Source organism: Homo sapiens, chromosome X, assembly GCF_000001405.40.
Source record: "Homo sapiens chromosome X, GRCh38.p14 Primary Assembly".
NCBI lineage: Eukaryota > Metazoa > Chordata > Mammalia > Primates > Hominidae > Homo > Homo sapiens.
Window position 1 is genome coordinate 86,888,661 of NC_000023.11, and position 26,797 is coordinate 86,915,457.

Consider the following 26,797-nt stretch of genomic DNA (forward strand, 5'->3'; position numbering starts at 1 on the left):
CCGGGGAAAGAAGTTTTTGCCCAAAAGAGGCTTCGAAAGGTAAGTAGGAAGCTTATCTATGAAAAAGCGAAGTACTATCACAAGGAATATAGGTAGATGTACAGATCTGAAATTCAAATGGCTAGGATGCTAAGAAAAACTAGCAACTTCTATGTATTACATAGAAGCCTAAGTTACTGACTTAGACTTTAGATGATATTGAAATAACTAGTAACTCATACACAGCACTTTCCCACCGAAGAAAGTGATCAAATGTACACATGACTGTTAAAAAACCAAAATAATGGTTCTTAAATAACGCATGAAATCAGCTGAAGATCATAAACTTAAAATAGGACTTTGTACTCTTCCATTAGGGATGGAATTTTAATTAAACCTGCACCATAAAACCAAATCAATGTGTATTCTGTTTTTACAGTGAAACCATGACTCTTAATAAAATAAAATGTATATTTAGAAAGAACGGAGGCTGAATAACATGGCCAATATGTCCTTTAAATTTCTAACTTATAGAATTAGGTGGTAGATCTTTTCCATTTGTTCACATTAATTGTATAATAGGCTATGTCAAAGATCAAAAATAATATCACATGAATAAATTTTAATACTTCCATATTGGTAATCTAGTGGATGAGACCAAAATATAATAACAATGAAAAATAAATAGAAATGATTCCCAAGGAAGACATTTTAGTTTTTTTGTGTGTGTGCCTTTAAATAAGACTTCTATCATTATTTGCATGTGTAAAACATATTCACTGGGAACACTTTATCCTTTTTATATAATTTTGTTTGATCAAGATTTCTACTATTTCTTTGGGAGTCAAATTTTCATGCTTTCCTAGCTTATGCACCTTTGTAATTTAAAAAGAGTTTGTAAGGTATTATTTACATTGAAACTATCTTAAAATTACTCAGATACAGGAGCATAAAGTTGTTTCATAATGTTCTAATAATTCTAGACTTGGGACACATAAAAGCCTATCTTCAGATTTTCAGTTTTAAATGGAAGAGAAAAATGGTAACTGACAATATATTTCTCCTTCAATTCTCCTATAGTTCCCAATGAAAAAATAATGATTTTAACAAAGCAAAAATTAATAAGATACAATAGCAAAACAATTTAGAAAACAGCAAAAATTAAAAAAATAAAAAATAAAAAAAAGGTAGCAATGACTAAATAAGGCAAGAGGTGGAGCCCAAAATAATTAACTTCAAAAATGACAACCAAGAATAGAAACAGTTAATACTGTGACAGAGCAGATATTAAAAAGGAACATGACAAGCTGTCCTTTAGATACCACAATAGTGATTCCACAAAAGCCTGAGAATTTTAACTAATATTACAAAATGTAAAAAAGCAAGCTAATTGAATATCTTTGTGTTGACTCTCTTCTGAAGAGGTAATAGGGGAAATGGATGCTGTAAAACTGAAGAAATTAACAATGAGATTGAATTTATTGGAGAAAAGTAAAGGTTCTAAGTATAAAGAATAGTTAGTGGAGTAAATTTTAACTTAAATGATACCTCAAATGAATTGAATACACCTAACAGTGAGGTGCAGTGCATCTGATACAGCAGATATAATGAAATCTGGGAAAGGAAAGGTGAGCTCAGTATTGTTCTTTCTTCTTTCCATGCCTGCAGGATACAGAAAAACTGACTAGAACATTTTAAAGGCAGCTGAAAATAACTGCTTTTTGGGAAAAGTAAGTCTCAAAAGAATTGGAAAGGAAGTTAAATTCACCTACACTATAGAGATTTAAAATATAGTCTGGACAGAGCCGAGGAGATTCCAAAGTGCGAACAAGCTGAAAAAGTCTGGCATGGAAATTAAGCCTATGCATAATACCAGAAAAAAAAATAAGTGAGATACTTTCAATAAAAAGGACAGAGAAAGAAACTATAATGGAAGAAAACATAACCAAAGGAACAAAAGGAAAATTGCCAGTGATGCTTTGTACTCCACAAGGACTCAGATTAAATAAAATAAAGAGCAAAAAGATGAGAAAAACTGAGGTGATTAACTTACAATACAAAATAAACGGTCAAAATATATTAATGTAACTAATAAACTGAAAGGTTCAATGAATAGAACATATATGGAAAAATGCAAATTAATTACATGATAACATGGAGGAAAGGCTTAGAATAATTACAGTGAACACAGCTGTGAAAGATCAAGTAATCAGAAAAAAATAGATATGCAAGACAAAGACAATCTCCTATATGAATTAATGGTTTCCCTGAAGAACTCAACATATGGATTGGGAGAATTATTAAATATTTAATAAAATAAGTTTCCATGAAATGAAGAAAGAGCCAAAAAAGATTCCAGGAAACATTTACACTGAATGGTTAAGATATATCCCATGTGTAAGTAATTGAATTTAAAAACAAAGTTTTTTTTTCCTAAAAGAAATAAAATGTGATGCAAGGATTATTTATCAAAAAGAAAATGTTGAAACCTGAAAGCCTTAGGAATCCTAAACCCAGAAAAATTGTAAAAGAAACATTTTGGAAATTTTGTTGGAAATAAAAACCTCTTAATGATGAAACTAAATAAATTAAGAAATAAGTAAAAATAATGAATATGTGAAAACATAAAATAATGAACAAGCTTATACATACAAATATAAAAACTGTAGTAACAGAACAGAACGTAAATGCTATAAATTTTGGTGAAATAAAATTAACATAAATCACAAATCAGAAAGAGGAAGGAAGGGAGGTAGGACAACATGAAAGAGTGCTAATGTCTTTATCTTTTATAGCAGAGAGCCAATTGATGTGTATAAAGTTTAAAAGAGGAGTTAAAGGTGCATAATTTAAAAATCTATATTTAAAAAATTTTTTATATTTAGAAATAAATTACAGGAAACAATTTATTATGGTGAGACAATATTTCATTCAGTTTCATTACAGTTTCCTGTTCTGTTAATTCACATAAACTTACATTGAATACTTATTTTTTAAAATAAGGCATGTGTTAGGACCCAATATTTATAAAACATTTTTTATTGTCAATTTGTCTATCTATGTCATATCTATTATATCTATCCATCCATCTATTCATCCAACTATCCATTGACCCATCTATCTTCCTACCTTTATAATTAGTTGATTGAAATGATATTCAGTTGGTGTACACATTTTGTGGTGGTACAATATAGAATGTAGTTTTTGCATTTTACTATGCATTTTCTTAATTGCCTAAATTATATATAATATGTAGCATTTTATTGCAACAATAATAAATTCATTATTTTTATCATAAAATTAACCCAATTTGATAAAGTATGGTGCAGCAGTTCCATTATTTAAATAAATCATAATCTTCCAGGCCTTAATATCTGGTACCTTTATTTTTGGCAGCAATATTGGGTAATAGATACTTATCTAATACATAGAGAGGAGTCATAACTGATGCATGAATGTTTTAAACAACCTGCAGATCGTCATCCAGCATCTGTGTTAAAATCCTTGATGACCAATAACTCAATTTGTCACAAGGCTTCCTTTTCCATTTCAGGATATCGTTCATTTTTTGAAACACTTTTTTTTCCTTTTTGGCTTAAACAACAGAAACTTTTTTTTTCCATAAATCTGAAGGCTGTAAGCTCAAGATCAGGATGTAAATAGGACTTTTTTTCCTGAGGCCTCTTTTCTTGGCTTTTATATGGCCATCTTCTCCTTATGGTGGACACAGGTTGATTCTGTATCTTTTCTGTTGTGAATAGTTCTATGATAAATATGTGAGTGCAGATGTCTCTTCCACACTGTTATCATTTCCTTTGGATATACACCCAAAGATATATATATTCATATAAGATATGGTATATATATTCATATAAGATATGGTATATATATGAATATATATATTCATATATATATCAAATAAGAGATATATATATCTTATTTGAGTTTATGTATACTTAATGTTTAGTATGTCAATTTGTCTTGTATACTTAATGTTTACAAATATCATGTATACTTAATGTTTAGATACCACTTACAAATGAGAACATGCAGTATTTGGTTTTCTCTTTCTGTGTTAGTTTCCTTAGGATAATGAACACCAGCTCCATTCATGTTGCAGCAAAGGAGATGATCTCATTCTTTTGGGGGGGCTGTGTAGTAATCCATGGTGTATATGTACCACATTTTCTTTATCCAGTGTAATGTTGATGGGCATTAATGTTGGTTCCATGGATTCGTTATTGTGAACATCAGCAAGCATGCATGTGTCTTAATGGTAGAACAATTTATATTCCTTGAATCCAATAATGGGATTGCTGGGTCAAATAGCAGTTCTAAGTTACTTGAGCAATCCCCAAATGGCTTTCTACAATGGATGAATTAATTAAAGTTTCCACCAGCAGTGTATGTGTTCCTTTTTCTTCACAACCTCCCCAGCATCTGCTATTTTTGATGGTTCGATAATAATCATTATGACTAGTGTGAAGTGGTATCTCACTGTTGTTTTTTAATTTGCATTTATCTAATTATTAGTGATGTTGATCTTTTTTTTCACATGCTTCTTGGCCACATGTATGTCTTCTTTTGAAAAATATCTGTTCATGATTTTTGCCCACTTTTTAATGGGGTTGTTTGTGTTTTGTTTGTAAAGTTGTTTTTTTTGTGGCTGAAATTCATATATTTTATTCAATATAGCCTCTCAAATAGTCACTTGAAGTCTACTTAGTATTAGTCCTATACATAATTTGTTAAAAAGAAATTTAAACTAGAAGTTATGGATTCCAAAGTTTACCCTACTGATAACATTTTGAAGTAATTAAAGTTGTTTAAGTTCCTTATAGATTCTGGATATTAGACTTCTGTCAGATGCATAGTTTGAAAATATTTTCTCCCATACTCTAGATTGTCTGTTTAATCTGTTGATAGTTTATTTTGCTGTGCAGATGTTCTTTAATTTAATTAGGTACCATTTGTCAATTTTTGTTTTTGTTGCAATTGTTTTTGGCCTCTTAGTCATGAAATCTTTGCCAGGGATCTCAGGTTATGTTCCAAGGTTTATATAGTTTTAGGTTTCGTATTTAAGTTTTTAATCCATCTTCAGTTGATTTTTGTATGTGGTGTAAGGAAAGGGTCGAGTTTCCAACTTCTGCATATTTCTAGCCAGTTATCTCAGCATTATTTATTGAACAGGGCATCATTTCCCCATGGCCTGTTTTTTTAAAATTATTATTATACTTTAAGTTCTGGGATACATGTGTAGAACATGCAGGGTTTTTACATAGGTATACACGTGCCATGGTGGTTTGCTGCATCCATCAACCCGTCATCTACATTATGTATTTCTTCTAATGCTATCCCTCCCCTACTCCCCAACCCGACAGGCCCCAGTGTGTGATGTTCCCCTCCCTGTGTTCATGTGTTCTCATTGTTCAACTCCCACTTATGAGTGAGAATATGCGGTGTTTGGTTTTCTGTTTCTGTGTTAGTTTGCTGAGAAGGATAGTTTCCAGCTTCAAACATGTCCCTGCAAAGGACATGAACTCATCCTTTTTTATGGCTGCATAGTAATGGTATGGTGTATATGTGCTGCATTTTCTTTATCCAGTCTATCATTGATGTGCATTTGGGTTGGTTCCATGTCTTTGCTATTGTGAATAGTGCTGCAATAAACATACGTGTGCATGTGTCTTTATAGTAGAATGATTTATAATCTTTTGGGTATATACCCAGTAATGGGACTGCTGGGTAAAACGGTATTTCTGGTTCTAGATCCTTGAGGAATCGCCACACTGTCTTCCACAATGGTTGAACTAATTTAAACTTCCACCAACAGTGTAAAAGCGTTCCTATTTCTCCACATCCTCCCCAGCATCTGTTGTTTCCTGACTTTTTAATGATTGCCATTCTAACTGGCATGAGATGGTATCTCATTGTGGTTTTGATTTCCATTTCTCTGATGACCAGTGATGATGAACGTTTTTTCATGTGTCTGTTGGCTGCATAAATGTCTTCTTTTGAGAAGTGTCTGTTCATATCCTTTGCCCATTTTTTGATGGGGTTGTTTGATTTTTTCTTGTAAATTTGTTTAAGTTCTTTGTAGATTCTGGATATTAGCCTAATGACCAGTGATGGTGAACATTTTTTCATATGTTTGTTGGCTGCATAAATGTCTTCTTTTGAAAAGTGTCTATTTATATCCTTCACTCAGTTTTTGATGGGGTTGTTTGATTTTTTCTTGTAAATTTGTTTAAATTCCTTGTAGATTCTAGATATTAGCCCTTTGTCAGATGGATAGATTGCAAAAATGTTCTCTCATTCTGTAGGATGCCTGTTCACTCTGATGATAGTTTCTTTTGCTGTGCAGAAGCTCTTTAGTTTAGTTAGATTCCATTTGTCAATCTGGGCTTTTGCTGCAATTGCTTTTGGTGTTTTAGTCATGAAATATTTGCCCATGCCTATGTCCTGAATGGTATTGCCTAGGTTTTCTTCTAGGGTTTTTATGGTTTTAGGTCTTATGTTTAAGTTTATAATTCATCTTGAGTTAATTTTTGTATAAGGTGTAAGGAAGGGTTCCAGTTTCAGTTTTCTGCATATGGTTAGCCAGTTTTCCTGACACCATTTATTAAATAAATGGTGTTTTCCATTTATTTGAGAATCATTTTCCCATTGCTTGTTTTTGTCAGGTTTGTCAAAGATCAGATGGTTGTAGATGTGTGGTGTTATTTCTGAGGCCTCTCTTCTGTTCCATTAATTTATATATCTGTTTTGGTAGCAGTACCATGCTGTTTTGGTTGCTGTAGCCTTGTAGTATGGTTTGAAGTCAGGTAGCATGATGCCTCCAGCTTTGTTCTTTTTGCTTAGGATTGCCTTGGCTATACGAGCTCTTTTTTGGTTCCATAGGAAATTTAAAGTGTGTTGGTTGGCAAGGTGGCCGAATAGAAACAGCTCCTGTCTGCAAATCCCAATAAGATCAATGCAGATGGTGGTGATTTCTGCATTTCCACCTGAGGTACCTGGCTCATCTCATTGGGACTGGTTAGACAGTGGGTGCAGCCTATGGAGAGCGAGCTGAAACAGGGTGGGACATTGCCTCACCTGGGAAATGTAAGTGGTCAGGGAATACCCTCCCCTAGCCAAGGGAAGCTGTGAGGGACTGTGCCTTGAGGAACAATGCACTCCCGCCCAGACACTACACTTTTCCCATGGTCTTCACAACCTCCAGACCAGGAGATTCCCACATGTGCTGACACCACTGGGGCCCTGGGTTTCAAGCACAAAACTGGGTGGCCATTTGGGCAGACATCGAGCTAGCTGCAGGAGTTTTTTTCATACCCCATTGGTGCCTGGAATGCCAGCAAGACAGAAATGTTCACTTCCCTGGAAAGGGGGCTGAAGCCAGGGAGCCAAGTGGTCTATCTCAGTGGATCCCACCTCCACAGAGCCCAGCAAGTTAAGATCCACTGGCTTGAAGTTCTCACTTCCAGCACAACAGTCTGAAGTCAACTTGGGATGCTTGAGATTGGTGAGTGGAGGGGCGTCTGCCATTACTGAGGCTTGAGTAGGCCGTCTTCCCCTCACAGTTTAAACAAAGCCACCAGGAATTTTGAACTGGGCAGAGGCCACCACAGCTCTGCAAAGCCACTGTAGCCAAACTGCCTCTCTAGATTCCTCCTCTCTGGGCAGGGCATCTCTGAAAGAAAGGCATCAGCCCCAGTCAGGGGCTTATAGATAAAACTCCCATCTCCCTGGGACAGAGGACCTGGGAAAAGCGGTGGCTATGGGTGCTCCTTCAGCGGACTTAAACATTCCTGCCTGCTGGCTCTGAAGAGAGCAGTGGATCTCCCAGCACAGTGCTTGAGCTCTGCTAAGGGACAGACTGCCTCCTCAAGTGGGTCCCTGACCCACATGCCTCCTGACTGGGAGACACATCCCAGCAGGGGTCAACAGACACCTCATAAAGGAGAGTTCCAGCTGGCATCTGGTGGGTACCCCACTGGGACAAAAATTCCAGAGGAAGAAGCAGGCAGCAATCTTTGTTGTTATGCAGCCTCTGCTGGTGATACCCAGGCAAACAGGGTCTGGAGTGGACCTCCAGCAAACTCCAGCAGAACTGCAGCAGAGGGGCCTGACTTTTAGTAGGAAAACTAACAAACAGAAAGTAATAGCATCAACATCAACAAGAAGGACGTTGTCACAGAAACCCCATCCGAAGGTCACCAACATCAAAGACCAAAGGTAGATAAATCCACAAAGATGAGGAAAAATCAGCACAAAAAGCCTGAAAATTCCAAAAACCAGAACGCCTCTTCTGCTCTAAAGGATCACAACTCCTCACCAGCAAGGGAACAAAACTGGACGGAGAATGAGTTTGACGAATTGACAGAAGTAGGCTTCAGAAGGTGGGTAATAACACACTCTTCCAAGCTAAAGGAGCATGTTCTAACGCAATGCAAGAAAGCTAAGAACCTTGAAAAAAGGTTAGAGAAATTTCTAAGTAGAATAATAAGTTTAGAGAAGAACATAAATGACCTGATGGAGCTGAAAAACACAGCATGAGAACTTCGTGAAGCATATACAAGTATCAATAGCCAAATTGATCATGCGGAAAAAATGATATCAGAGATTGAATATCAACTTAATGAAATAAAGTGTGAAACTAAGATTAGAGAAAAAAGAATGAAAAGGAACAAGCAAAGCCTCCAAGAAATATGGGACTATGTGAAAAGACCAAACCTACATTTGACTGGTGTACCTGAAAGTGATGGGGGAGAATGGAGCCAAGTTGGAAAACACTCTTCAGGATATTATCCAGGAGAACTGCCCTGGTAGTTTTTTTCTATTTCTGGGAAGAAAGTCAATGGTAGCTTGATGGGATATCACTTAATCTATAAATTACTTTGGGCAGTATGGCCGTTCTCACGATATTGATTCTTCCTATCCATGAGCATGGAATGCTTTTCCATTTGTTTGTTTCCTCTCTTATTTCCTTGAGCAGTGGTTTGTAGTTCTCCTTGAAGAGGTCCTTCACATCTCTTGTAAGTTGTATTCATAGGCATTTTATTCTCTTTGTAGCAATTGTGAATGGGAGTTCACTCATGATTTGGCTCTCTGTTTGTTTATTATTGGTGTATAGGAATGCTTGTGATTTTTGCACATTGATTTGGTATCCTGAGACTTTGCTGAAGTTTCTTATCAGCTTAAGAAGATTTTGAGTTGAGAGCCTGGGGTTTTCTAAATATACAATCATGTCATCTGCAAACAGAGACAATTTGACATTTTGCTTAGAATTGTCTTGGCTATGCGGGCTCTTTTTTGGGTCCATATGAACTTTAAAGTAGTTTTTTCCAGTTCTGTGAAGAAAGTCAGTGGTAGCTTGATGGAGATAGCATTGAATTGGTAAATTACTTTGGGCAGTATGGCCATTTTCACAATATTGATTCTTCATATTCATGAGCATGAAATCTTTTTCCATTTGTTTGTGTCCTCTCTTATTTCCTTGTGCAGTGGTTTGTAGTTGTCCTTTAAGAGGTCCTTCCCTTGTAAGTTGTATTCCTAGGTATTTTATTCTCTTTGAAGCAATTACGAATGGGAGTTCATGCATGATTTGGCTCTCTGTTTGTCTGTTATTGGTGTATAGGAATGCTTGTGATTTTTGCACATTGATTTTGTATCCTGAGACTTTGCTGAATTTGCTTATCAGCTTAAGGAGATTTTGGGCTGAGACGATGGGGTTTTCTAAATATACAATCATGTCATCTGCAAACAGAGGCGATTTGACTTCCTCTCTTCCTATTTGAATACCCTTTATTTCTCTCTCTTTCCTGATTGCCCTGGCCAGAACTTCCAATACTATGTTGAATAGGAGTGGTGAGAGAGGGCATCCTTGTGCCAGTTATCAAAGGGATCTGCTTCCAGTTTTTGCCCTTTCAGTATGATATTGGCTGTGGGTTTGTCATAAATAGCTCTTATTATTTTGAGATACTTTCCATTGATATCTAGTTTATTGAGAGTTTTTAGCATGAAGGGGTGTTGAATTCTGTTGAAGGCCTTTTCTGTATCTATTGAGATAATCTTGTGGTTTTTGTTATTGGTTCTGTTTATGTGATGGATTACATTTATTAATTTACATTTGTTGAACCAGGTTTGCATCCCAGGGATGAAGCCAACTTGATCGTGATGTATAAGCTTTTTGATGTGCTGCTGGATTTGGTTTGCCAGTATTTTATTGAGGATTTTTGCATCGATGTTCATCAGGGATATTGACCTGAAATTTTCTTTTTTTGTTGTGTCTCTGCCAGGTTTGGGTATCAGGATGATGCTGGCCTCATAAAATGAGTTAGGGAGGATTCCCTCTTCTTCTATTGTTTGGAATAGTTTCAGAAGGATGGTACCAGCTCCTCTTTGTACCTCTGGTAGAAAATGGCTGTGAATCTGTCTGGTCCTGGACTTTTTTTGGTTGGTAGGCTGTTAATTACGGCCTCAATTTCAGAACTTGTTATTGGTCTATTCAGGGATTTGACTTCTTCCTTGTTTCGTCTTGGGACGGTATATGTGTCCAGGAATTTATCCGTTTCTTCTAGGTTTTCTACTTTATTTGTGTAGAGGTGTTTATAGTATTCTTTGATGGTAATTTGTATTTCTGTGGGATCAGTGGTGATATCCCCTATATCATCTTTTATTGGGTCTATTTGATTCTTCTTTTTTTCTCCTTTATTAGTCTGGCTAACGGTCTATCTATTTTGTTAATCTTTCCAAAAACCACCTCCTGGATTCATGGATCTTTGAAGGGATTTTCGTGTCTCTATCTTCTTCAGTTCTGCTCTGATCTTAGTTATTTCTTCTCTTCTGCTAGCTTTTGAATTTGTTTCCTGTTGCTTCTCTAGTTCTTTTAATTTTGATGTTAGGGTGTCAATTTTAGGTCTTTCCTGCTTTCTCTTGTGGGCATTTAGTGCTATAAATTTCCCTCTAAACACTGCTTTAAATGTGTCCCAGAGATTCTGGTACACTGTGTCTTCGTTCTCATTGATTTCAAAGAACATCTTTATTTCTGCCTTCATTTTGCTATTTACCCAGTAGTCATTCAGGAGCAGGTTGTTCAGTTTCCATGTAGTTGTGCAGTTTTGAGTGAGTTTCTTAATCCTGAGTTCTAATTTGATTGCACTGTGGTCTGAGAGACTTTTTGTTATGATTTCCGTTCTTTTGCATTTGCTTAGGAGTGTTTTACTTTCAATTATGTGGTCAATTTTAGAATAAGTGTGATGAGGTTCTGAGAAGAATGTATATTCTGTTGATTTGGGGTGAAGAGTTCTGTAGATGTCTATTAGGTCCACTTGGTCCAGAGCTGAGTTCAAATCCTGAATATCCTTGTTAATTTTCTGTCTCGTTGATCTGTCTAATATTGACAGTGGGGTGTTAAAGACTCCCTCTATTATTGTGTGGGAGTCTTAGTCTCTTTGTAGGTCTCTAAAAACTTGCTTTATGAATCATGGGTCACACTCTCAACCTCACATCTAGGGGCTCGCCGGGACTTTTGTCCAGTTATAGGTCTAGAAGCAACGGGGGTGTTGGGGGTGGCTGCTGAGGAGAATCAACATTATCTTGCCTGGCAACTGCCTAAGAGGAGGCCATCACTGTTGCCTCAGGCAGTGCAAGGTTTATCTCCTCAGACAAAGGTGGAAAGGCTGATTGCAGCATGGGTTGGGGAAAGGATGTTGCCACTACTGAGGATGGGAAAGCTGTTTCTTCTGGCAACAAAGTTTCAGCAGAGTGTACAAATTCAGTGTCCCCAGCTTCATCAGGGTCCTCTCACATGTCCCCTTTCCAAGTTGCAGGGTCCCATTCTTTTCCAATCAATGCCTTCACTTTAACAGTAGACACCTGGTGATTCTGTGCATGCACGTTTCGTTGCAGGTCAGCCACTTGCATGATAATAGTTTGTGTCTGTTTTACCGCAATTTCAGCTCTTTCTCTATTCTCACTCAGGGCAATCTTAGCAGATTTGAGGCTCAGTGTCTGCTTCTGAAGTCGGGAGACAGCATCCCTGAGTTCATCATTTTCTTTTATCACTTTGTCTACTGAACTTAGGAGCAACCAACCAGCTTCATTATATTCCTTGGTTCTCCATATATGGTCAAAGTTATTATGTTTAGAGTCACTAAACTCCTTGCCTCTCCCGAGTAGTGCATTAGGAGTGTCAAATGCGTCTATTTTTCATAACACTCTAAATAGTTCATGCCAAGGATTATCTGTGTTCTCCATACTATTAGAAGTAGAGTCCTTAGCATTTTGAGGTCTACATATTAAGCAGCCAACTACAGAAACCCCAAAACCAATGAAGGAACTCAATCCTTAATATTCTGTTCCTCGGCCGGGCGCGGTGGCTCACGCCTGTAATCCCAGCACTTTGGGAGGCCGAGGCGGGCGGATCATGAGGTCAGGAGATCGAGACCATCCTGGCTAACACGGTGAAACCCCGTCTCTACTAAAAATACAAAAAATTAGCCGGGCGTGGTGGCGGGCGCCTGTGGTCCCAGCTACTCGGGAGGCTGAGGCAGGAGAATGGCGTGAACCCGGGAGGCGGAGCTTGCAGTGAGCCGAGATCGCGCCACTGCACTCCAGCCTGGGCGACAGAGCGAGACTCCGTCTCAAAAAAAAAAAAAAAAAAAAAAAAAAAAAAATATTCTGTTCCTCTAGAATCCCTCTTGGTACCAAAATCAGTATTAGTCAGGGTTCTCTAGAGGCACAGAACTAATAGGATATATATACTCATATATATATATACACACACACACACACACACACACACATATATATGAGTTTTTTAAGTACTAATTCTCACAATTCCAAGGTCCCAAGCTGAGCAGCAAGGAAAGCCAGTCCGAGTCCCAAAACTGAAGAACTTGGAGTCCAATGTTCGAGGGCAGGAAGCATCTAGCATGGGAGAAAGATGTAGGCTGGCAGGCCTGGCCAGTCTCCTCTTTTTACATTTTTATGTTTGCTTTATATTCTAGCTGTGCTGGCAGCTGATTAGTTTGTGCCCACCCAGATTAAGGGTGGGTCTGCCTCTCCCAGCCCACTGACTCAAATGTTAATCTCCTTTGGCAACACTCTCACAGACACACCCATGATCAATACTTTGCACCTTAAATCCAATCAAGTTGACACAGTATTAACCATGGCAATACCTTAGGAAATACCATTCCGAATACAGGCCCTGGGAAAGATTTCTTGATGAAGACACCAAAAGCAATTGCAACAAAAACAAAAATTTACAGCTGTGACCTAATTAAATCAAAGAGCTTCTGCACAGCAAAATAATGTATCAACAGAGTAAATAGGCAACTTACAGAATGGGGGGAATTATTGGCAAACTGCATACAACAAAAGCCTAATATCCAGAATCGATAGAAAACTTTAATAAATTAACAAGCAAAAATCAAACAATTCCATTGAAAAGTTGGTGAAATAGTTTGAATATTTTTCTCCATCCAAATCTCATGTTAAATTGTAATCCCCAATATTGGAGTTGGGGTCTGGTGGGAGGTGTTTGGATCATAGGGGTGGATCCCTCATAAATGACTTGTGTCATTCTGTTGTTGATAAGTGAATTCTTGCTCTGAGTTCACATGAGATCTGGTCATTAAAAGTGTTTGTTACCTCTCTGTCACTCTCTCTTTCTCTTGTTCCTGCTCTGGTCACCTTACATGCCTCCTTCCTCCATAATTGTATGTTTCCTGAGACCTCTCTAGAAGCCAAGCAGGTGACAAGACCATTCTTTCTGTAAAATCTGTAGAACCATAAGCCAATTAAGTTAGCTTTCTATATAAATTACCCTGTCTCATGTATTTCCTTACAGCAATAATAGAATGGCCTAATACAGTGGGTAAAGGATATCAACAGACAGTTTTCTAAAGAAGACATACATGCATCCAGCAAGCATATGAAAAAAGCTCAATATCACTAACTGCCAGAGAAATGCAAATTAAAACCACAATGAGATACCATCTTACACCAGTCAGAATGGCTATTATCAAAAAATCAAAACAGGAAATAATAGATTCTGGTGAGGCCATAGGGAAAAGGTAATGCTTATACACTGCTGGTGGGAAGGTAAATTAGTTTAGTCACTGTGGAAAGCACTATGGTGATTTCTCAATTTGACCTAGAAATCTCATTTTTGTGTATACTCCCGAAGGAATATAAGTTGTTCTACCATAAAAACATATGCATCTGTTTATTACAGCACCATTCACCATAATAAACACTTGGAATCAACCTAGATGCTCCTCAATTATAGATTGGATAAAGAAAATGTTATATATATTTATATATCATAGAATATTATGCATCCATAAAAAAGTGAAATAATATGTTTTGCAGCAACATGGATGGAGCTGGAGACCATTATCCTAAGAGAACTAATTCAGGAACAGAAAACCAAATATTTTATGTTCTCACTTATAAGTGTTAGCTAGACATTGTGTACACATAGACCCAATGAAGAGAACAATAGACACTGGAGCCTACTTGAGGGTGGAGGGGGGACGTCGGTGAGGATCGATAAACTACTTATCAGGTGCCATGCATATTAACTGGGTGATGAAATAATCTGTATACCAAACCCCCATGATATGTAATTTACCTATATTAAAAACCTGCATATGTACCTCTTAATGCTTTTCAGGAGTAAAGTTCGAGGGCAGAGTGTTTGACTGCAAGGGGCTAGCATGGATGTAATCATTTTAAACTAATATAATTTTCCTATATTTTGATTACAGTAATGGTTATGTGACTCTATGCATTGGTCAAAACTCATAAATATTCCTCAATAAGTGTAGACTTAATTTTATATACATTCTAAAAAAATATTTTAAAAATGAAGTTGATGACTAGACCCATTAACGGGCATCAAAATAATGAGCACAGTGTTCCCCAATTGTAATGTTATCAGAATAAAAAAGTACTAGGATACAAATGAAAGGTAATTCAGGTATAGTACAAAGTACATTGGACTTTGACTCAAAAAAGTTTTCTTTTAAATTTCTGACTGTTAATAAGTAATATTGAGCAAATCACTTAGCTTTTCTTCACCTCGGCTTTCTAATTAGTGAAATAAGGTAATAATTATTTCACAAAAGTTCTAATGTTTAAATGGTATTATTTATCTGAAATCACTTTATAGGCTATAAAATGCTCTTCTAAATTTATTTCATTAAGCAAATGTTAAAGAAGTGACTTGTCTTAGCAAGCCATTATACTAAATACTATAGGAAATAAATACGAAGATTAGAAATAAATTATGCACACTTGGAGCTTAGTGACAAGAACAGTAGCATATGTAGAAAGTGAATATAATACAAGTTAGAACGTGGTAAGTGCAAATGAAAGAAAATGAATAGCTGCTACAGAAGCTCTTGCATCCAAATTTTTACCCTGGAGTTTTATTTTCAATGATGACACATAAACTTGGAAGTTGGTATTCTCATCAACCCAACAAAAAGAAAGACTAATAAAAATCAATGGCTTTTCCTGAATACATCAGAAAACTGAGGTTCCAGGGGAAAGTATCATTCTGAAATCTGAAGACAGAAGCTCAAGGAAAGAAACAAGGTAGAGATCTACTTACCAGAAGAAGAAGCTGCTGGGAGCATAAACTGGTAAAAAGTGAAATTTATTAATTTTGATAAATCACTAAAAGCTGCGTGTGAACTAGCTGGAGACTAAGAAATTCACGGATACCACAAGGTTAGGGGAACATCTACATTTTTGTGGGCTTTCCACTCCAGGAGTCCCACTAGTTCCTAATGAAAATCTCATGGTAGCTCTGGTAGAGGAAGGGGAAAAACAATCATTGAAAAATGTGCTCAGAGTCTTCTCCGTAACAAACTTTTATATCACAGGAGAAAATACTTTGCCAGACCCTTATCCTAGTTTAGGGAAAAACATTCCTTCTACTCCAGCCTCCTCTAGTGTTTCTGTTTCACCTCATGGAGTGAAATAACATAGCCAACAGGAGTAAAGGTGTAAAGAAAATAGGTTTAAGTGCTGCAGCCAGTGAATGAAATAGGAGATTGTGGAGGAGGGGAGAGACATACTATTGGAGAAAATCTTGTGAAGACCACAACCCTAAGAAAGAGGCCCATTAAAACACTAAGAATTAATGGGAAGGTTATAGAACACTTCCTCTTTCCCACATCTTATGACCACATCAATAAGGCTTCAGTATAACAACAATAAATTACAGCTGAATGCATTGCCAAACACAGATTCTCAATGAGGAGGGGCAGTTAGAGAATTTCACAGTCAAGAAAGCCTAAAACTTAACGTATAATAATAATAAAATAATTAAAAAAAAGAAAGCAGACAAGAACAAAAACACTAAAGGAATTTGAAACCTCTGGTACCTATGGCTATGGGAAACATTAAACAAAATTATAATACTAGTATTATCATAAATCATCATAAAGGCTTATTTAGCTCTGTTTCTACTCTCTGAAACATCATGTCTGGCTTTCAACAAATAAATACAAAACATACAAAAAGGCAAGCAAAAATACAGTCTGAGGTGGCAAAGTAATAATTATATCAAGACTCAGATATGACACAAATATTAAAAATTAATATTCAGAACATTTAAAATAACTGTCATTAATAAAGTACTGTAAAAGAAAAGTACAGCATGCAAAAACAGGTAATATAAGCAGGAAAATGGAAACTTTAAGAAAGAATCAAATGGCGATATTAAAAGTAAAAGATATTGTAACAGAAAAACAAATGCCTTTGACATGCTTGTTTGTAGACCTACCCAGCTGAGGAAATTGTCAATGGGCTAGAATATATGTCTATATAAATTTTCTAAAACGAAATGCAGAAAGAAAAAAAAATCAAAAAATCCCAGTGGAACAGAATATCCTAAAACAGTGGGTTCATTTCAAAAGGTGTAAATCACACATAATTAAACTATAATAAGGAGAAGAAAAAAAGAATGAAATAGAAGAATTATTGAAGTAATAATGGCCTAAAACTTTTTGAAAATTAAAACCACACACCAATTCACACAGCAAGGAAGCTCACAGGACACTAAGCAGCACTAATGCAATTAAACAAACAATAAACACACCTGGACACATCATATTTAAATTTCAGAAAAACAAAGCCAACTAAAAATATTTAAAGAAAACTAGAGGAGAAAAGGACCTTACTTACAGAGGAATAAGGATTAGAATGACATTGGACTTCATTTCAGAAACCATGAAAGCAAAAAAAAAAAAAAAAAAAAGCTTTGAGTGAAATATTTAGTTTTGAAAGAAAAAAATTACAAACTGAAAAGAATATATTTAGTATAAATTATTCTTCAAACATGAAGGTAAAGTTAATGATCAAGGAATTAATTTTCCAAAAAAATAACAATATTTAACATAAATTTACCTAAGGAAGCATCAAAATATATGAGGCAAAACCTGATAAAACTTTAAGGAGAAATGGGCACATGTACTCTTAAAGTTAAATGTTTTAACGCCACCTATTCAGTTATTGATAGAGGAAGTAGACACAAAAGCAGTAAGGATATAGTGGACATACGCTGCTTATCAATTTAATCTAATTGACATTTTAAATACTCCATCCAACATCAGAATATGCATTATTTTCAAGCTCAAATGAAACATTCATCAAGAGAGAACACAATTTGTACCAGAAAATATGCCTTAAAAACTTTAAATAATAGATATCTATTGAAGTTTTTTCTTAGTCCATTTTTGTGTGGCTATAAGAGAATACCATAGGCTAGGTAATTTATGAAGAAAAGAAAATTATTTCTCACAGTTGTGAAGTTTGAAAAGTCCAAGAGCATTACACTGGTATCCAGTGAGAACATTCATGCCGCATCATCCCATTGTAGAAGGCTGAAGGGAAAGAGAGCGTGGGAATGAGTGAACAAGAGAGGGCCAAACTAGATTCTATAACAACCCATTTTCATGATAAAGAACTCACTCCAGTGGTAAGGACATTACTGCATTCATGAGGATGAAGCCCTCATGGCAAAATCATCTCTTATCAGTCCCACTTCTAAATAATGTCACAATGGCAATAAAATTTCAACATGAGTTTTGAAGGGGAAATGCAAACCATAGCATTCTTCTCCTGACTCCCCAAAACTAATGTCTTCCCACATACAAAATACATTCATTCCATCTCAGTAGTCCACAAAATCTTAACTGGCTCCACCATCAACTTAAAAGTCAAAAGTCCAGACAGACACTGATGTAAATCAGATATGGATGATACTTGAGGCCTAATTAATCCTGAGGCACATTCCTCTCCATCTGTGAGCCTGTGAAATTAGCAAGTTACATGCTTATAACAAATGCTGGCAAGGATGTGGAGAAAAGGGAAACCTCATACAACCTTGGTGGGAATATAAATTAGTACAACTACAGTGGAGTACAGTTTGGAGGTTCATCAAAAAAATAAAAATAGAGCTACCATATGATCCAGCAATCCCATTTCTGGGTATATACCCAAAAGAAAGGAAATCAGTATATTGAAGAGACATCTGCACTGCCATGTTTTTTGCAGCAATGTTTGCAATAGCCAAACTTTGGAAGCAACATACGTGTCCATCAACAGATGAATGGATAAAGAAAATGTGGTACATACATACAATGGAGTACTATCCAGCCATTAAATTAAGAATGAGATTCAGGCATTTGCAACAACATGGATAGAACTGGAGGTCATTATGCTATGTGAAATAAGCCAGGTGCAGAAAGACAAACATCACATGTTCTCAGTTATTTGTGGGATCTAAAAATCAAAACAATTGAACTTAAGGAGACAGAGAATAGAAAGATGGTTACCAGAGGCTAGGAAGGTGAGTCGAGGGGCAAGGGGGAAGTGGGGATGGTCAATGTATACAAAAAATTAATTAGAAATAATGAATAAGACCTATTATTTTATAGCACAACAGGATTACTGTAGTCAACAATAATTTAATTGTACAATTTTAAATAACTAAAAGAGCATAATTGGATTGTTTGTTACACAAAGAAGTGCTTGAGGGAATGAGTATGCAATTCTCCATGATGTGATTATTACACATTGTATGCTTGTATCAAAACTTCTGAGGTACCCTTTAAATATATACACCCACTACATACCCAAAACATTTTTTAAATTAAAAAATAAGTTATATGCTTTCAAAATACAATGTCAGGAAAGACATAAAATAGACATTCTCATTTCCAAAAGGAGAAAAAGGCAAGAATAAAGAATAGGCTTCAAGCAAGTCTGAAAACTAACAAGAAAAACAACATTAAGTCTTCAAGCTGGAGAATTCTCTCCTTTGACTCCATGTTGTACATCTTGGGTACAGTGAAGCAGGGATTGGGCTCCTAAGGCCTTAGGCACACCCCACCCTATGACTTTACTGGGCTCAGTCCACCCAGAAGCTCACACAGGTTGGAGTTTTGTTTCTGCAGCTTTTCCAGCCTGGAGTTGCATGCTAGTGGCCCTGCAGTTCTATGGTCTTGGAGGTTTCCTTACTCCCACTGCTCCACTAGGTATTGCTCCAGTGGGGGCTCTCTGCAGTGGCTACCACTGTGAGAAATCTCTCCCATGGACCCCAAGGCTGTTCACAACATTCTTTGAAATCTAGGTTGAAGAAGCCTTGCTCACACAGCTCTTGCATTCTCCACACATGTAGAATTAACACTGTATGGACACCACCAAAGTTTATGGCTTGTATCCTTCATGTGGTAGGTTGAGACACACCTGGACCTGCTTGAGCCAAGCCTGGAGTGGCTGAGAAGTGTTGCGCTGTAATGCAGAGAGCACAGACCTGAGGCACCTGTGGGAAGGAATCCCATGGAGGGCACTTGAGGACCCTCTCCCCAAACCACTCTGCCCTTCTAGAGCTTTTGATCTATGAACAAAGGGGCAGTCTCAAAGACCTCTGAAATGCCTTTGTGGTCCTTCTCCAATTGTCTTGATTATTCCTTATATCTGTATTTTTCTTTTTAGGAAATGGTCACTTGGCTCATCTTTGGTTTGCTTCCTCAAACTCATTTTTTCATTCTTCACAGGGTCAGGCTGAAAGTTTTCAAACTGTTTTCATTCTGTTTCTCTTTTAATTATAAATTTAAACTCTAAGTTATTTATTTCTTTTACATCTTACTGTGTGAGATTAAAAGTAGCTATGCAGCTCCTTCAATATATTGTTGAGAGATTTCTTCTGCCAGATATCCTAGTTCATCACTCTTAAATTTTTATTCTATAAAGCTCTAGGGCATAAACACAATTCAGCCAAATTATTTGCCACTCTATAACAAGATTGTCCATTACTCACATTTCCAGTACTTCTCTTCTCCATCTGAGACCTCATCAGAGTGGCCTTTAATGTGCTCATTTCAATCAACATTCTGATCATGACCACTTAAGTAATCTCTAAAAAGTTTCAAACTTTCTCTACAACTCTCCTTTTCTAAGCCCTCACCAGAATTACCTTGAATACTCCATTTATGGCAATCTAGTCTTTTTTTTAGCCTGTTTCTCCTAATTCTTTTATCCTCTATCCATTATCAAGTTCCAAAACTACTTCAATATTTTCAGGTATTTGTTATAGCAATAGCTCCACTTCTCTATATGAATTCTCCATCTTAGTCTATTTTTATTGTTGTTGTTGCTATAGCAGAATAATACAGACTGGGTAATTTATTTTAAAAAGTAATTGATTTTTCACAATTCTGGAGGCTGGGAAGTTCAATATCAAGGTGCTGGCCTTTTTGCTCTTTCATCCCATGACAGAAAGCAGAAGTGCAAGAAAGCATGAGAGTGAGTGATAAAGAGAGGGTTAAACTTTCTTTTCTAACAATTCACTCTCATAATATTGAACCCACACCCATGATAACAATATTAATCCATATAATCCTATAACTCAAGCATTTACTCTTTTAATGCTCTCCCATGTTTCCTTCATTTATTTTCATTTCTTTCTGCTTCTTCCTTGGATTGTATATTTTCAAATAACCTGTCTTTCCTCAAATTTCACCAATTCTTTCTTATGCCTGCTCAATTCTGCAATTGATGCTCTCCATTGCATATTTAATTGTATGTATTATATTTTAGCTCCATAATTCCTGTTTGATTTTTTAAATAATTTCAACCTCCCCATTACATTTATAATTTTGATTTTCTGTTGTTTTCCTGATATTGTTGAATTGTTTCTGTGTATTTTCTTGAAGTTTTCTGAACATCAGAAAATAATTAAAGAAATCAAAAGAAATTAAAGAAATTCTTTTCTTTTTTTTTCAGGTGGTTCATAAATATATATTTCTTTAGGATCACTTACTGGTGCTTTATTTTGTTCCATTGGTGGTGTCATTGTTCCCTGATTATTATTGAACCTTGTGGCCATGCATTGGTCTCTGTCCATTTGAAGTAGAAACTTAGTCCAGTATTTTTAGACTGGCTTTGTCTGGCAAAGCTCTTCACTAGTCAGCAAGTCCACAGATTCTGGGCTGGCCATCTGGCATGGTCTAGAGGCAGGTCTGCTGCTCGAGTTTTGGTACACGGGTGATGGCCTGTAGGCTTGGTCCCTAGGGTCCAGCTTGGAGGCTGGGTCTGTGAGGACTGGCCTATATTGTGGGGCTATTGGGCCAGCCTGGTTCCACAGGGGCAATCCTGGAGCTAGGTCTGTGGAATCTCATCCAGCACTGGAGCAGGCTTGAAGCCAGGGGCTGTGGGATCCAGTCTGGCAATAAGACCCTTTCCAAGGGTACTGGCCTAGAGTTTGGGACTCTGAGGTTCTTTCCAGAATTGAGATTTATTGAGGCAGGCCTCATTCTGGAATACAAAGCAAGTTTGATGCTCACCTTCCTCTCTTTTCCCAAATCAGAGGGTATCTATAACACTATGGTTCTTGCAGACTCATAAAGGTACCACCTTGATCATCCTGGACAACTTCCAGGAAAAGTATCTGGATTACCAGGCAGAGACTCTTGTTCTCTTCTCCTACTTACTCAAAAAACAAAACAAAACAAAACAAAAACACACAGCGTCTCTCTCTCTGTCTCTCTCTCTCTCTTTTCTGACCAATGAAAGCTTGGGTTGGAGTGACACAAGCACCCTGGGGCCACCACTATGACCACATTGAGTGAGGTCTGAAGCCAGCATGGCATTGTGCCTCACTGAAGGCCTGCTGTAACCACTTCCTGGCTACTGCTTAAATTCGCTTTATGCCCTGGGACTCAACAGTCAGCTTGTGGCAAAGTCAGCCAGGCCTGTGTCTTTCCCTTCAGGGTGGTGATATGCCCCAGGCCCTGGGTGGGTCCAGAGATGATATCTGTAATTCAGGGACTACAGTCAAAACCCTTAGAAATCTACTTGGTATTATATTGTACTATGACTGAGCTATCAGTAAAACTGCAATATGCAGTCCTTTCCACACTTCCCTTTTCTTCTCAAAGGCAGCCACCATTACCCCATGCCATGAGAACCACTGCCACAATACTTGCATTGTTCTCTTAAGTTTCAAGGACTCAAATCAGCTTGTGGTGAATGCCGCATGGTCTGGGACTCACCTTTCAGGGCAGTGGATTCCCCTCTACTTCGGGACAGGTCCAGAAATGACATCTAAGAGTCAAGTCCAAGAATCAGGGACCCCAGGAGCCCATTTGGTGCTCTACCCCACTGTGGCCTTAGTTGTACCTAAGTTGCAAGACAAAGTCCCCTTTACTTTTCCCTCTGCTTTCTTCAAGCAGAAGTTTTACCCCAGAGCCACCACAGCTGGTAATGAGCTGAATCTCACCTGGAGCCACCAAGACTCACAGGCTCACCCAAGCTCCTCAATATATTACCTGGGTATCCCTACTGGTTATTCAGGGCACAAGGGCTCTTTAATTGGCAGGTGATAATCGCTGCCAGTACTGGGTCCTTTCCTTCAAGGCAGTAGGTTTCTTTCTGGCTTAGGGTGTATCTAGAAATATCACCTGGGAGCTAGGGCCTGGAACAGGGGCCTCATGACTCTGACAGGTGCCCTATCCTTCTGGGGCTGAGCTGGTATCCAAGATGCAAGACCAAGTCCTCTCCACTCTCCCCTTTCCTCTCCTCATGCAAAATGAAGGGATCTCTTTTGGAGCTGTGAGATGTGCAGCCTGGGGTGAGGGGAGAGTGATGCCAGCACCCCCTTGGCTGTCCCAGCTAGTATCACAGTATGTCACCTGCCAACCTAGTTTACTGTCTCTGGGCCCAGTTCAGCACTAAGACTTATCTAAAATTTGCAGTCTTTATGGCCTAGATTGTCCTTCAAGCTTACTTGGAGACAGAGCGTGTTATAGTCCTCAATTGTGAGGCTTGAGGGAACTCAAGTTCAGACCCCTGGAACTGACAATTTCCCCCTGGATAACGCTGGTTTAAACGCTTCCTGCATGGGTAGGCATCAGCTGAGTTTGGTCCAGTTTTCCTTTCTGCTCTAACAAAACAACACTGTGTTTAATATCTCACAATTCCTGTGTTTTCTCTTCCTAAGCCCCCAGAGATGCTCTGTGCACCACTGCTGGGGGCAAAGGAGGTGTGGTATAGGCAATTTAGGACCGTTTTTCCATCTTTTCAGTGCCTTTTTCAGTAATATGAAGTTAAAACCAGGTACTATGAGTGCTCACCTGGTTTTTGGTTTTATGAAGGTGTTTTTTTCCTGTGTATATAGTTGTCAAATTGATTTCCTTGCCAGGGGATGATTGATAGAGCCTTCTATTCTGCCATCTTGCTCCCCACGTTATTTTATCATCTAGATTCACCAAAATGTAAAGAACTTGAGCTTTACAATTATTGGTGGTGTGTGATAATACTTTTCTGTGTTAATGACAAGAAATAATATTAATATTCTCACAATAGCTTTGTTTATTATTTAAATATTTGAAAATTAGAATTCTTAAACTTGAGAAAGGCTGAAAAATATCAGAGCCAAAAGTTATTTGGCTCACATATGCTAATAATGAAATTCTGATCATTCAAAATGTGAAGCATTTTAATTAGAAAATAATTTTATAGAGCTTGATTAGTGAGATGGAGGTTGGAACTGGCAGCATCTAACACCAAGTAACTGAGATGCTTTTTTCTGCTTGGTGATAATATAGATATTAGAGTTTCTAACTCGTTATTACCTCTCTATTTTGTCAATAGCAACATATTTATAATGGTCTGAAGTGAACAGATTTATCAATTTTGTACGTTTAAATATTCTTAGGGTGAGTTTCTAAAATGAGTTCTATGCACATAGGAATTTTCCATTGTGAACATATAGTTTCAGAAATAAGATTTTTCCAACTAATGGCCAATCAGAAAATGTTTGAATCTGCCTATGACCTGTAAGCCCTCACTTTGAATTGTTTAATCTTTTGAGTCTGAACCAATGTAAACTTCACATGCATTAATTTTTGTGTATGATGAAAGGAAAAGGTCCAATTTTATTACTGTACACATGGATATTGTTTTCCCAACACCATTTATTGAAGATAATATCATTTTCCAATTGTGTATCTTAGTGACAATGGGAAATGAATTATGTCTTCTTACAACGTATAAAACCAATGAAAGCTTGGTGTGGCGTGACACAAGCTCTCCTATGGCCACCATCACTATGACTGCATTGAGTCAGACTGCAAATGTATGTCTTATGTCTCCCTAAAACGTATAAAGCCAAGCTATAACTCAACCACTTTGGCCCCGTGTTCTCAGGACCCCTTGAGACTGTGCCTCAGGCCATGATCACTCATACTTGGTTCAGAATAGACCTCTTTAAATATTAAAAAAGAAATCGAATTTTTGTTTCTTCTGTGTTAATTGAAAACCTCACTCTTCCCTACTTTCCCCAGTGCTAAGTGGAGTGTTACACACAGTAGAACTTTAATTCTAAGTCAACTATTTAACTGTACTGTTTTCTCTGCACAGACAAAACAAGTACATTAGAGAAAAGTTTAGAAGACATAAAGACTAGTGAAAACCAAAAGGTAACATCACATTTTTGTAAAGTGTGCTGCACCAAGATAATAAATAGCTCTAGTTTTTATTAAATTCTTCTCAGTGTGTGTGTGTGTGTGTGTGTGTGTGTGTGTGTGTGTGTGTGTGAAATCTTATTTATTTAAGAAGGCTGCTTCTTGGGGGAGAGAAAATCTGAAATCTGTTGGGCACTATAGGGGGCGCTGTTGTGTACTACCCAGATTCCCATTACCCTGACCCTTGAATGTGCCACCTCTTTCAGAAATTAAAAACTCATTCTCCTAGTTGCTGGAAGTGGTGGCCGGCAGTTATCATTTGTGTCCTTCACTTTGTTTGCCAATCACAGAAGGGGACAGCATTGCTGAAGATTACACCCCTGCCTGGGGCAACTCATATCCAATGAGTATTCAATGTCACCATCTTTGCCCCAATTTAGAACACTCTAACGCAAGAGCTCTCTACAGGATCTGTGAAACTTTTGCTGCAACTACATGGCACTCCATCTCCTCTCTCTGTCCAGTCCTGCTGCCTTTATTTCCTCATGGCAGTGATCCTGATAGGACACTTAGTAAATGCCCTACATGCAAATTTCCATCTAACTGTTGACTTTCAGGTTAACCAATGTGTGGCAGACACACTTTAACAAGTGAAAAACAAATATTTGAAGCAATAATATGTCTTGGACTGGGGTTTACTAAATAACAAAAACAACAACAAAACCAACAGTAATAATAGCTACTTTAAATGAGCCCTTTCTTCATGTCAGGTATAGTTCATTATTTTATAAAATCCTCAAAAAAGTTATTAAATAAATATTAATATTGATAGTGAGGGGGGACAGGGAAATTCTAAACAGAAAAGGGTGGTCCCTGGCAAAACCTGAAATTCATGGCTAGCATTTGCAAGGGCCAAGATACAAGAAAAAGTATACAGCATATGTAAAGAATTAAACATAGTTTAGTATCAGTAGATGTAATGTTAAAAATTGAGAGGGGTATGATATGAGGCAGAAGGAACAAATAAATACCAAGTCATATATACCCATGTAATGGAAAATCATATAAGAATCATGGACTTATATTATCAAATTTACATTTCAGGAAGATTTGTAGAGCTGCAATGTGGAACACAAACCAGAAGGAGGCAATACTAGAGGTAAGTATTCCAGTTAGACTGCAATAATCTCAGTGAGAGATGATGGCCTAGACTAGGGTAGACTAGCAAAGTTGGAAAGATATTAATGGATTCAGAATACTTAGGAGGTAGAACTGGTAATACTTGGTTATTGCTTCCCTATAGAGTTAGAGAGAAAACGAGGAATAATGCAGGACTCCCAGATTTGAGACTTAATCAAATGCATAGATGTTGGTTCTTTACCCATTTACTGAGAATGGGCAAAAAGAGGATAAAAATTAACCATAGGGACATAGAGAAGAGCCTGCTGATGCTCTGTCCTATTTGTCCTCAGCCTGAGTTCACTTTTCACTGTTGCAGATAGGCCCTATGCACACAGACAGCTTCTTCAAGTGCCTATGTATTCTGACTTCACTAAACTTTCATGCTCAGTCCACTCTCAGGGAGGATTGGAAGTGCTAGAGAATTAACACTACCAAGGGCTGTTGTAAAACAACTACACTACAAGGGGTATGCAGATGACTGAGCTAAGAGAGGAAACTACTGGATGATGACAATAATGAAGATGGGTGACGATCAGCTGGAGTCGATCAAATATGATGAAAAAGAGGCTAAGGAAGGAGAGGATGACAGAGAAAGTGCCAATACTGAAGATGACTCTCAAGCACATAGTATGATTTAGAAATCTAAT